This window comes from Homo sapiens, chromosome 9 (genome assembly GCF_000001405.40).
Source record: "Homo sapiens chromosome 9, GRCh38.p14 Primary Assembly".
Taxonomy (NCBI): Eukaryota; Metazoa; Chordata; class Mammalia; order Primates; family Hominidae; genus Homo; species Homo sapiens.
This window is the reverse complement of record NC_000009.12, coordinates 8,219,467-8,232,650: the sequence shown is the minus strand read 5'-3', so window position 1 is coordinate 8,232,650 and position 13,184 is coordinate 8,219,467. Positions and strand designations below refer to the sequence as shown.

Genomic DNA, 13,184 nt, shown 5'->3' with positions numbered 1-13,184 from the left:
GTACATTTTTTGTAAAGTGCTTTTCCTTTTATGTTATCTTATTTAATCTCTGCAGCCACTCAGTGAGCTAGCTATTATTATTATCATCTCCTTTTTACCTGCGCAGAAATCAAACTCAGAGATGTAACATGTGTAACTTGCCCTAGGTAAAATGTATAAGCTTTGAAAACGAGAGTTGAGCCTATTAAAAACCCAACATTGGGAAGCTGGGCAACATACAACTCTGGCCTTGGGAGAACTTATTTTGTTGCTGGAAAAATGAGGAATGCAGATAAAGAATATCCGGTAAGTTGTTGGAGGCACTAAATGAGAGGCACACAAGAAAAGTACAATGCAGGGGAGAGGAAGCAAAGTCCATCATTTATTGGAGTAGTCCAGACTATTTATTTGTTTCTTTTCAAGGTGGAGGTAAATTAATGTTTTTGATATCTTTCAGTGCTGACATGTTGGGTTTTGATATTCTATTAGCCTCTAGGTGACATCATAAGATCTTACGCATGGTCTACACCCAACGGCAGAATAAGGAGATCAGCTCAACTTTCCAGTTCAGGTATCAGCAATAAATACTGTGACCTCAGATAAACCTTAACTCTTAGGGTAATTAAATTCATATTTTTTTTCCCAGTGACTGCCATGAGGGAGAATTGAGAAAAGTCATGATAGTTTAGTAACTTACAGGGGAAACAAAAATAGCCAGGAAACACATCGGATAGAAACATAGAAATTCAGAACCTAACTTTTAGAATCTTTTCTCTTTTGAACTGGAATGACCTTCTTCATGCTTGTCACTTATTATGATGGGTATTTCTATTTGTAGAAACCAACCACTTGATACATTAAAGGAGCCTTTCAGAGGATGTTTTTCACTTCTACTAATTTCGGGCTTAGAATTCATCACTGAAGGTATGAAACTCTCTTCTGTGGAACCAACCCACACATGATCTTTTTATTCTGGTATCAACTCCTGGATTTTTTGTTTTATCATTGAAATTATCTGTATAAAATTTAGTATCAAACCGATTATTTAAGCTGTCCACTGATAATCGAACAACCAGCAGGTATGAGTCTCTTAGCGTAGGAAAATTTGATAAAACTATCCCGAAAGGTCCTTGTGATATTGAAGAAAAGAATTTTTGTGGCTGTCTGAACTCAAATCTATCACAAGTATCCAACCCTTTGAGAAAACACCAACTCACTTCTAGAAGTATTGCTCCTTGAAATGTGGCTTTCTGAATGTCTTCTATGTCTATTGTTCAACAAAGATCCCCTCCACCGTGTTGTCTTCTGTTCTGAAGCCACTTATCTGCAATTCTGAAGCCAAAGTGCTCAACATACATAAGACTTTAAGGATAAGACTTCACCAACAGTACCAATGGAGTAGATAAGGGAATGAAAAAATTTGAAAGAAAAAGCTTGCCAGTGCAAAATTGTCTTTAGCCATGGCTACACAGCTTACAAAAATGCTACCATGGAAACCTTCTAAATTTCTCTAAGTTGTATGTATTTTTTAAAGAAAACATAACAAAGTCCTCAGTTGGTTAGAAAAATAACTGAAGATATTTTGTAGTTGTATCAGAGCTTTGATTTCAGGAATGGTTGGCGATGTATGAAGGCACTTTCAACTCTGTAAATATTATGGATTTGTACTTTGAAAATAGCAAATTAAGGAATGATGGCAAATAATTGAATGGTCATGACAGTACTATTTTTTTCTTTGCATATTTTCAAAGCCAAAGAAGAAAAACTTCAAATTGAATTTCATCTTGAGCTAAATTAATTCCCAGGGTATTCCTTTCAAGAGCCTTAGTAAATCAGCACACTGTGAGTTTTTCCTGGTACTCAGATATGTAAACTTGGTGTCCCTTTTATCCCTGGTGCCTTGAGGTTAAGGCCAACAGATGGCCCGTGACTTATTTAAAAGTTTTCTGTACCAACAAAATAAAGCAGAAAAAGTGCAGAACAATTGCCTAAGCCTAGCTTGCATTTGATGTTGCTTGTACACATTTTAGTATATCTTATTATTTAAATTTGATTTAAGAGTTTGGAGGAAGGAGGGAGGCAGAGGTACCTGTAGAGTGATCATATCCTATAAAAAGTTGCAGGCCTGGGAAGCCTTGAGATCCCTCTCCCCTGTGACAGGCAGTAGTCAATCTCTCAGTGGTACAAAGTAAAGGATTAGGTTGGTGCAAAAGTAATTGCGGTTTTTGCCATTACTTTCAATTATTTTAATAGGTGAAGGGCAAGAAACAGAATTGTGGTAAACAGTTCTAGGACAGCAGAAGATTCTAATTGTCAGCATGGGGTTCATTTCTCCTTCAGCCAACATCCAAACCACTGCTTAAGTATACAAGGGAAGGCTTCAGGATATCAATAGCATCTTAATGTTCAAAATTCACAGTGATAATCAGTGACTGCAGAATCACTTATATCTTCCTTACACACTAGAGTTATCTGAAATTAGTGTTGGTAGTTGATAAGAAATAATGAGAACACTGTAAATGCCTTCACTCAATCCAATACTGTGTTAATCTTTTTTAAATGTTTTATTGAAATCCAAAAAGGATAGAGAGGCTGAAAGAATTTCTGACTCAGCCTGTAGTTCTTCAAGATCAATTACTGTCCTCATTACAAGATACTTACATTTACAGATAGGAAAGGTATTCCCCCTCCAAGTCTCCCCTTCTCAGTTTTTATCAGAATTTGATTTTGCAAAGACAATAAATGACAGCAAAATGTGGTTGCAATAAAATAATAATCACAAAACAAGCTGATTTTGGCATAAAAATAACAAATTCCTGTGAAGAGGTTCACATTTGTGGGGCTCAAATAAAATGTTAATGTGATCTTGTATAATAAAAGGTGACAGGGGAAGAAATTTAAGACAAATTGTCATAAATATGGTGAGGAAAATTTACAACTTAGTGATGTTACAGTTCCGCTCACATCAACACTCTGTGTTCAGTTGTTGGTGGATGGTCTAATTAGTTCTTTCTGTTGTACTATATTAAGGGCAACCATTTCTCTTCAGCAAAATGGAAATGAAGAAAAGACTGAAATTTCACTTTGCAGTATCTCTTTCTCAGATTTCTCATTCTATGGGTTCTTCTTTCATACCATTCCTTTCCCCATTTGTTTTCATTTTCTTTGCTAGGAACTTTTATTGTCCTAACGTTTAAATTCCTGAATTTTCACCACATCTTGGACGCTGGCTTTAATTAAGTGTTGGTCGTTCATCACACAAATATGTTTTTGATTAGAACAAGCTTGTCCAACCTATGGCCCAAGGACCTCATGTAGCCCAGGACAGCTTTGAATGTGGCCCAACATATGTTTATAAGCTTTCTTAAAACATTATGAGAATTTTGTGCGTAATTTCTTTTTTTTTAAGCTCATCAGCTATTGTTAGTGTTAGTATATTTTATGTGTGGCCCAAGACAATTCTTCCAATGTGGCCCAGGAAAGCTAAAAGATTGGACACCCTGGTTTAGATCATGGTATGTATTGACTGTTGTTCTTAATGTCTCATCTCAGCCCTCACATTTTCAGATAAGCCCTTACTAACTTCCTGATTTAGGTCAAAGCCCCATTATCTGTATAATGTATCTTTCTTTTATATCACCTTTCACAGTTGTAACTTTCCTTTTATTTGTTTGACTTCATTTAATTGTAGACTTCTGACTAGCCCTTAGCTCAAAGTGTGGTAGAGTGCATGTCTATTTTTGCTTTCCACTGTATGCTCCATGTCTAGCCCATAGTATGTGCTCAACCAATATTTAATAAATGAATAAACTAGAAAAGTCTTGCTGCGCATAACATTTGCTGACTAACAAGCATCCTAAGCATAACAAATCCAAAACTGAGGTCTCAGTCCTTCCAAACTCTTTTGTCCTGTAGTCTTCTCCATTCTGATAAATGGAGGAAAACTTAGTTTTCCTGCTTCTTAGCCCCAAATTCTTTGCGTGATCTTTGACTCCTCGCTCTTTTTCTCACACTACAACTTCATTTCATCAGTAAAGCCACTTGGCTCTATCTTCAAAATTCTGTTTATGCAGAATTCAACCACATTGCCCCATGTCCACTGTACACCTTCTAGTCTAATTCACTATCCTGTTTGGCTGGATTAGTGCAATGGCCTCCTAACTGGTCTCCCTTTTTGCTTCTTCACCTCATTATATTTATTTCTGACACAGCAGAGTATTCTTTTGAAAACATAAATCAAATTATGTTACTCCTCTCTCAAACTCTCCAATGGCTGTCTACCTCCTCCCTGGTAAAAGTCCCTATGGTGACTTACAAAACCCTGCACAACCATGACAATAGGCACTTTGCTGTTATGTTACCTGCTATATCTGCAGTGCATAGGAAAGTCAGCAGCACAAAGTAGACACTCAATATTTGTTGAATAAATTTCTGCACCTACTAGTCAGAGGCTATGTTATTTAAAAAAGTATTCTCTGACTCTTAAAAAAATAGACCCTTCTAATCGGTTCCAATGGATACAATTACCTGTTAGTTAACTCATACTAATAGTGTTCAATACATAGCATGACATTGTGAACCTTTGTTCCAAGTCCTACTCCGGAAAAACATGCATAACTATACTTGTATTGTGAAGTCAATTTTGACTCGTTAGGAAAATCATTATTGCAATCAATATTAGCTCAAAGAATCATTCAAGGGCGTACTATGTCACAGGCTGCCTATTGTGGTTGCCTGAACTTAGAATTAGGAAAAAAAGAATTCTACTTGGTAATTTAGTCTGTTTTTGTGCACTAGAACAACTGCTCAGTTTGGTGGTGATTTTGTGACATTTTTCAGGTAGCGGAAATCATAATCTTGGAATATTTTTGGTGAGGATTTTTCATTTGCATTTTGACAACTGGCAAATCACTAAATCTACAATTCTACACCAAATCATATGCCAATATCATTAGTGTTTGCTTCTGTAACCTGCTTGTGATATAAAGATTTAGCATGGTACAATTTAAGATCTTAAAGGGAAAATAAGGTAAGGGGGATGTAGTCATAGTAAGCCTCTGAAAGCAATTTATAGGATTTTCCCCCCTGTACATACTAGCATATGCAACTAAAGTGAATAGTGAATATGTTAAATTGAGAAGATAGTGGTGACATTTCATATAATTTAAATGAAAATTAATGGCTAATGTACTATGAATTTCTACCTGTCCTTGATCCTAAGATGGCTTTCTGAGATGATTTTGATGTTAAAATTGAAATGAGGAATGATGAAAGGAGTAGAGGAAAGGTGGTGATGTTAAAAGGTGATTATTAAAAGATTGGCTTCTGAGCTGTTCATCCTTCCTCAAACCCCTTCATTTCTATACTTTGAAGTGCATCTAAGGGTGTTTCAAAAATTCAGTTTTGTTCTTGTGGTTGGAGAAGCTTTATAATTTTGTTAACTACATCTCATTAATTCAACAAATATTTATTGAGCACCTACTTAGAAAAGCCGGATGCTTTTCTAAGCTCTGGATTTGAATGCTATTGCATGCATTTCAGTAGAGAGCCATCACATGTCATTCAGAACTGTCTGGAAGGAAGATTTGTCTGATGAAAAGACTCAACAAAATTAGAAGCAAAAAAGAATAATTTATCTTATTTGGATAAATATATATATATATATATTTCAACCATTTAATATAATAACAATTATCTTGAATAAAATAAATGGGGATTTATTGAAGAATCAGGTCATTTTATATGCAAAACTTTTTTACAAGTTATTTTAATGATTGATTTTCAGGTGATTGATTTGTTATTGACATAGACAATCTGAGATTAACATTAAGATTGCTAAAATATGAACAAAAAACCAGAACAATAAACAGTGGATTAGCTTCTCTTTATAAGGGACTTTTGCCATGTAGACATGGAAAAGTGTACAATAAATCAGTAGATTTAAGTGCTGCAATTTACTGGAACTGAGTCCAACCCGGGAGAGTAAACCCAAGGTCCTCTTTGCTTTTTCATTTGTTATCAAAGCAGTTATTGCAGCAGGAAATTCAAAGAAATGACATTCATTTAAGGGTAGGAGAGAAAGTCACACAAAAGCAAAGAACAAAAAACAAACAAACGAAAGTAAAAGAATCAAGTTTCATAGCTATTGGAAAAAGATACACTATGAACCTTCTAAAATCTAGGGCTCACAGAAACATACCACATCCATATTCAACATTCCGATAAACACATTAGATCCTTAGGCATCCTTTAAAGACCCATATGTTTGGTGCAATTGCATCAAACATAGATAAATTTCCAAGGCCTGAGAATGTTTCACTTATTTTATTTAAGGAAGTAACCTGCTTAAGCAATAAGACCCTCTTCAAAAACCCCCTTCTAACCAAGAATGGCCTGGAGCTCATGCTGCCCACCCATAGCAAATGCGTCGTAAATGAATGGAAGCTGTTACACTGTAGAAGACTGACTCTAAAATAATAAAAATTACTTATCCTTAAAGAGGATTAAACATATCCTCAAACTAGAAAACTTAAGACAGCTGAAATTCTGTACATTTGCATGCACACATTTAAGCAATGACAGTTAACCAAAATGCAAACTATCAGAAACACATCACTGAGCAACCTAGGGATTTCACTGTCAGCTACAATGCTGCAGTGGGAACCTTATATTACATGCCACCCTGTCTTGACTCTGCTTCTCCTAAGTCCTTCACCAGGCAGTAGCAATTCCCCAGGAGAGTGCTAGCTGTTTTCTTTTGGAAATACACAATAATGATGCATGATTATAGGTTAGACTTACATTCTTGAGATGCCCCTCCCCACATATATATCATAATGAGTTTGAATTATTCTTCAAAATATATAATCAAACAAGTCCCTCTGTATGCAAGGTTTGTATCACCAACTTTACAACTATATGAATTACAATGAAATGAGTAACAGTAGGTGGGGAAGGGTACTGGGTTCTAACCCATTTTCTTAATCTGTGGGTTAATCATCATAGCTAGGGTAATTCTAGCTAATCTTAAAAAGGTCTAAGTTTAAATGACTGCATCGTTGAGGTGTTGAGCACGGGTGGCCATTGTAGTCTATGTGCCCGTGGTGTTTTGCTTGAGGACCCTTGGTTTGCTGAAGGAGGAAGATGGAATGGGAGCTAGGACATTTGGAGGGGCTAGATAGAAGCAGGGACTTGGTATGGGACAAAGCAGCATCTTTTCTCTCAGGCCTCATGGACTGTGGAGTTTTCATTTCTTGTAAGCATTTGCCCTGATGGGAGCATGCGCTTTAGCTCTGACATCATTTTCAAGAAAGAGAAGGGCAAACTGGCACCAAATAGCTACAGAAAAAGGGAGGGGAATCTGTCCTTTTTTTTTTTTTTTTTTGAGCCTGTCACCCAGGCTGGAGTACAGTGTCGTGATTTTGGCTCACTGCAACCTCTGCCTCCCGGGTTCAAGCGATTCTCCTGCCTCAGCCTCCCAAGTAGCTGGGACTACAGGTGTGTGCCACTACGCCTGGCTAATTTTTTGTATTTTTAGTAGAGACAGAGTTTCACCATGTTAGCCAGGATGCTGTTGATCTCCTGACCTCGTGATCCTCCCGCCTTGGCCTCCCAAAGTGCTGGGATTACAGGTGTGAGCCACTGTGCCTGGCCGAGTCTGTCCTTTTAAGTATAGAACAGAACAGGACACCACTTTGGGGCTCCAAGGACTGGTGGCTTCCTATTGCTTTTCCTTCTCAGAGAGTGAGAAAGATGTAACCATTTGACATTGTGGTAATTAATGTTTGGAGTCTTAGCCTGCCTTCCCAAGGCCCAATGAGGTGGAGTGTTATTTCTGCCCCTTAATTGGGAGGCAGGAGGAGGCCCCATGGACATATGTTTTGTTCATGCCCGTGGCCTCACCAGAAGTCTCCTGGCTGACAGCCACAGGACACAGTTCACCATGCATCAAGCATGAGTCTTTTCACAGGTTGGCAGGAGAGCAAGCTAGAGCTGCATTTCCTGGCCTCAGAAATTCCTCCTAGTACATATTTAAGTTTCCTTGATTTATTCCCCATATGGTCCATGTGGTTAACCACGGTTTTATTTTTTCTTAATAGCAGTAAAGAGAGACTCATCATGACCCTTCCTCAGGCTCATCACTCGCTCAGACCTATAATTTATTAGGAACATCCTCTGTGGGGAAGAACAGCTCAGCTATTTGGTAACAGGATATGGAGCATATGCACAGTGTGCGCTGTGCTGTTTAGGGCCAGATGACAGCTCAGGTAAGTCAGTGAGGCAAGTGAGAATCTGTCTTCCATCCTGATCCACTAAACAGGCCAGGTAGGGCCCAGGCTAGGTCAAGAGGGGGCCAAGTCCTCCTTCTTTGCATACCTTCAGTGCTGTCTGGAGGGCCTCATGGAAATGGCATAGACATTTAAGCAAGGTGGACTTCTGTCTGATTTCAGGACTCTACTGCAGTGGTTCCCGACTAGGGTCTTTTGGTCCCCCAGGAAACATTTGGCATTGTCTAGAGACATGTGTGATTGTTATGATCTGGGAGGTGCTACTGGGAGGAGGCCAAAGAGCATTAAACCTCCTGCAATGCACAGGACAGCCCTTCTCCCCTTGCAACAAAGAATTATCTGTCTCAGAAGGTCAGGACTGCTGAAGTTGGGAAATCCCATCTTGCTGGTTGATACTAGTTTCTTTGTCTCTTCTAAGAGAAGAGCTAAGTATTGATCCTAGTTATAGGATTGTCATAAAGATAAAGTAAAAAGAAATGAGTACAAAATATCTGTACTAGGTACAGTACTAAGATAATTCCTGTCCCCTTCCCCCTTCCTCTTCTCCTGGTATCCTAGTGTCTACATGCTCTCTACTTGCACTTGCCCTCTGCTCCCCAGTACAAATCTGTTTTCAACTCAGTTTAGGCTAAGTTATGTTAAGTTATTCTAAATTATTCCAAGGTAACAAAAAACAAAACCCCAAATCTCAGGGGCTTGTACCAACCAATGTTGGTTTCTCACTTCTGTGACTGCCTCTCAGGGTTGGCTCCAGCTCTTCAATCAGGCTCAGGCTAAAACAGTACCCTTTGTCTGGGACATTGTGATGTCAGATGAAAAAAGAGAGGGGCAAAACTACATGCCGGTTTTTAAAACTTTTACACAAATGTGTCCTGTGGTGTCTCACACCTGTAATCCCAGCACTGTGGGAGGCTGAGGTGGGTGGATCACTTGAGGTCCAGAGTTCGAGACCAGCCTGGCCAACATGGTGAAACCCTGTCTCTACCAAAAAAAAAAAAAAAAACACAAAAATTAGCTGGGCGTGGCAGTGCATGCCTGTAATTCCAGCTTCTCAGGAGGCTGAGGCAGGAGAATCGCTTGGACTGGGAGGCAGAGGTTGCAGTGAGCCAAGATCACACAACTGCACTCCAGTCTGGGCAACAGAGTGAGACTCTGTCTCAAAAAAAAAAAAAAAAAAAAAAAAAAAAAGGCCAGGCTCGGTGGTTCATGCCTGTAATCCCAGCACTTTGGGAGGCCGAGGTGGGTGGATCATGAGATCAGGAGATCGAGACCATCCTGGCTAACATGGTGAAACCCCGTCTCTACTAAAAACATACAAAAAAATTAGCCGGGTGTGGTGGCGGGTGCCTGTAGTCCCAGCTACTCGGGAGGCTGAGACAGGAGAATGGCGTGAACCCGGGAGGCAGAGCTTGCATTGAGTGGAGTTGGCACCACTGTACTCCAGCCTGGGTGACAGTGCAAGATTCCATCTCAAAAAAAAAAGTGTCCTGCATTACTGTTTTCATGGCTTCCTATTCACCTCATTTTTTCTTTCTTTCTCTTTCTTTCTCTCTCTTTCTCTCTCCTTCCTTCCTTCCTTTTTTCTTTTCTTCTTTCTTTCCTTCTTTCTTTTTCTCTTTTTTTCTTTCTCCTTTCCTTTCCTCCCCTCCTCCCTTTCTCTCTCTCTCTCTCTCTCTCTTCTTTCTTTCTTGCTTGCTTGCAGTTTTGCCCTTGTCACCCAGGCTGGAGTGCAATGGGTGATTTCGGCTCACTGCAACCTCCTCCTCCCGGGTTCAAGGTTTTATCCTGCCTAAGCCTCCAAATAAGCCTCCCAAATAGCTGGGATTACAGGCCCCCACCACCACAACCGGCTAATTTTTATATTTTTAGTTGAGATGGGGTTTCACCATGTTGGCCAGGCTGGTCTCAAATTCTCGATCTCAGGTGATCCACTTACCTGGGCCTCCCAAAGTGCTGGGATTACAGGTGTGAGCCACCATGCCCAGCCCACCTCATTTTCATCTTCCCTCCCTAGGGTCATGGAGATGGCAGGATACACAACACCTGACACTGGACAGATGAGATTGACAGCAGTTTGTTGGTTATACTCACAGCCTGGAGTAGAGGACACTGCACATGATGGAGGGCCACCTGGGGGTTGTACTTGGGAATGGAGTGGATAAGCAAAGGCAGGGAGAGGCAGATAGTGTAGTGTCCAGAGGATGAGGTGCCCCTTCATTCACACAGGAGGAAGTGATTGACTTGTTTGAATAATTTCACAGGGTAGCAAGCAATGAAACCTGTTATTCAGGGAAACACAGGTCTGTCTGTGTTCCCTTTGATAAGAAGTGTTGTTTGGTTTGAGCACCTTATCTGTGGGAGCAGAGAGGGGAGAGGAGCTGGGGATTAAGCCTTTTGAAGCCCTACTGATTTTACCAGATGTCAGGACAGTGCATAATACTGAGTCTTAATTTTAGACCCTAAACCCCAATCACTTCTGCTTACATTTTCTCAGCCCACATTAGTCACATGGAAAATTGAATTCAGTGACAGAGAGTAACTTAAAGATCATTTATCATTTTAAGCCAGTGGTTTCCAAACTTCCATTTCTGCTCACGGACACTTTTGTTCAGTAGGATTTTATCTAAACATCATTGTTAACAACAACAACGATGGTATCAACAAAATCGGATCTACAAGGCTTGAAGCAGGATTAGTGTCTGGGCATCCTGCTGTCATCTCATCCACTGATATAACCTGACTGCATGTTTCACACATGAGAAAATTGAGGCCCAGAGAGCAGCAAGTGACTTAATGAGTTATACAGTAGAATTCAAATCTTCTCTTGTGACTGTATATTTCTAAGCCAGAAATAACACATCCCGTGGTGAAAAAATATAGGATAAAAAAAAGAGGGCAATGGATTCTAAAAGAGCATCTAATATAGCAGAGGAGGGGGCAAAGGAAGAGAGTTGGGAGGAAGTAGAAGAGGGAAGGTGGGAGTAGTTATGAAGAGGAGAGGAAAGGAAGCGGAAAAGGCAAGCTGGAGCCGCAAGGCCAGTCCAAGTGTATGTTATGCTGATCACTCCCACATCCCTTTGTCCAGCCAGAGCCCTGAGCTTCAGACTTGTAAATCCAACTCCTCAGTCAGCATCTGTACTTGAAGTCTGATAGGCTTTCCATTCCAGGACAGAACTCTTGATTTTCTACCCTCCCCCACCCTGCTTCTCCTTAGTCTTCCTGACCTCGTTAGGTAGGTTGTACCATCAACCCAGGGTCTCCAACCAAATGTATGTGTTAATCATTGACTCTTCTCTTTCTCTTACTTCCTAGAGCCACTCCATTAGCAAGACTCATTGTTTCACCTTTGACTATTTCCAGAATCTGAGCCATTTTCTCCAAGTCTACAACCTCCACCCTGTTCTAAAGCCTGGCAATGTCCTCTTGTCTCATCTCTCTGCTTTCCATTTTCCTCGCAGCAACCTGAGTAATCATTATAGAACATAAACATATCATATCATATGAACATAAACATATAGAACATAAACATATCATATCATAGAACATAAACATATCATAAACATATCACTTATCTGACTGAAACTCTCTAAATCCCCATCTGTACATAGAATAAAGTCTCAACTCTTTATCAAGACCTCCAGGCCCCACTTTGTTGGGCCCCCGCCCATCTCTCCTAGTCGATGCTGTTCCTAGACAGTGCTATTCCTAGAACATCCCAAGATTGTATTATTGTATAGGCTCAGCCCATAGATTCTTATGAGGCCTTACTCTTGTCATTCATTCATTCATTCAACTAATATTTACTCAGGTTCAAAAAATATAGCAGACAGTATCTTCAGCACTGGAATTGTCATATAAAATGTCTCCTCCTCAGAAAGGCCTTTCCTGAAACTTGTCATCATTTATCTTTCTTACTTTTTTTCCCTTATCTTGTTTTTAAAAACTTATTGTTATTATTGAACTTATTATTACATAAAATTGCATCACTTTTTAAAAACTTTTTTTTCAATAGAATGTATATTCTTCAACTATAAAATATGCTCCAGGAGCATAAAATAATCCAATCTTGAGCAACTCACCAACAGGGAAGAGAAGGGTTTCAATATTTTAATTATGTTCAAATATGTCACTATTAGCAGATGAAATGTGTAGGTTTGAGATATCAGAAAATAATGGTGATATTGTTGATTATTAAGGAGTAGGGAACAGGAGTTAATTTATTGAGGTAGGCAATTTATTACTTGCCATACTCTATTTCTTGTGCAGGCTCATAAAAGGAATTAAGTAATCAAAATTTAAGGAAATACAAAAAAAGACATTGAAGTAACTCCTCAGTGTCCTTGGACCAGTAGCTGGGGAATGGTGGTTTACTCCACTGGTCTTTAGACCTAGCTGCAAATCAGAATCTTTTGAGGATGAAATTCACTGGCCCCATCCCTGGAGATTCTGATTCTCTAAGGCTGGGATGGACCTTAGGAATCTCAGTGTTTTAAAGAAACTTTGCCAGGGCATTCTGATGGTCAGCCTCACCTGGAAACCACTGAGCAAGTAACTTGGACATCCTATATGTTTTTACTAGGCTAACAAAGTATTTGAATAAAGTGGCCAAATGGGTTGCTTTGGCTTGGAGGTTGAACATTGTTGATGTGGAACTTCCATTTCTTTCCCCATGGCCACATACTAAACCTTGAATTCAGTGCTACAAAGAATCCCTAGGTTAGTTAGATTCATGAAGAAAAAGTGAAATCTTTGATTATATCTATCTTGTGAACGTTTGCCTTTTTTTCAGAATAACTTTAGAAGCTGGAACACTGGTTCATTTGATTATACTCAGAGATGTTCCAGGAACAATTGCCATGATTAAATACATCTAATGGATTTAAGAATCCTATGAGGAAATAAGACAAAACTCTCATG

At 39.4% G+C, this 13,184-nt stretch overlaps 1 annotated feature.

The window, feature by feature from the left end:
* Positions 8,528 to 8,822: a silencer, noted in NCBI's record as "tiled region #3353; K562 Repressive non-DNase unmatched - State 24:Quies". NCBI's record gives its function as "represses a minimal TATA promoter and a strong SV40 promoter by Sharpr-MPRA in K562 cells {active_cell/tissue: K562}" and the evidence as "EXISTENCE:reporter gene assay evidence [ECO:0000049][PMID:27701403]".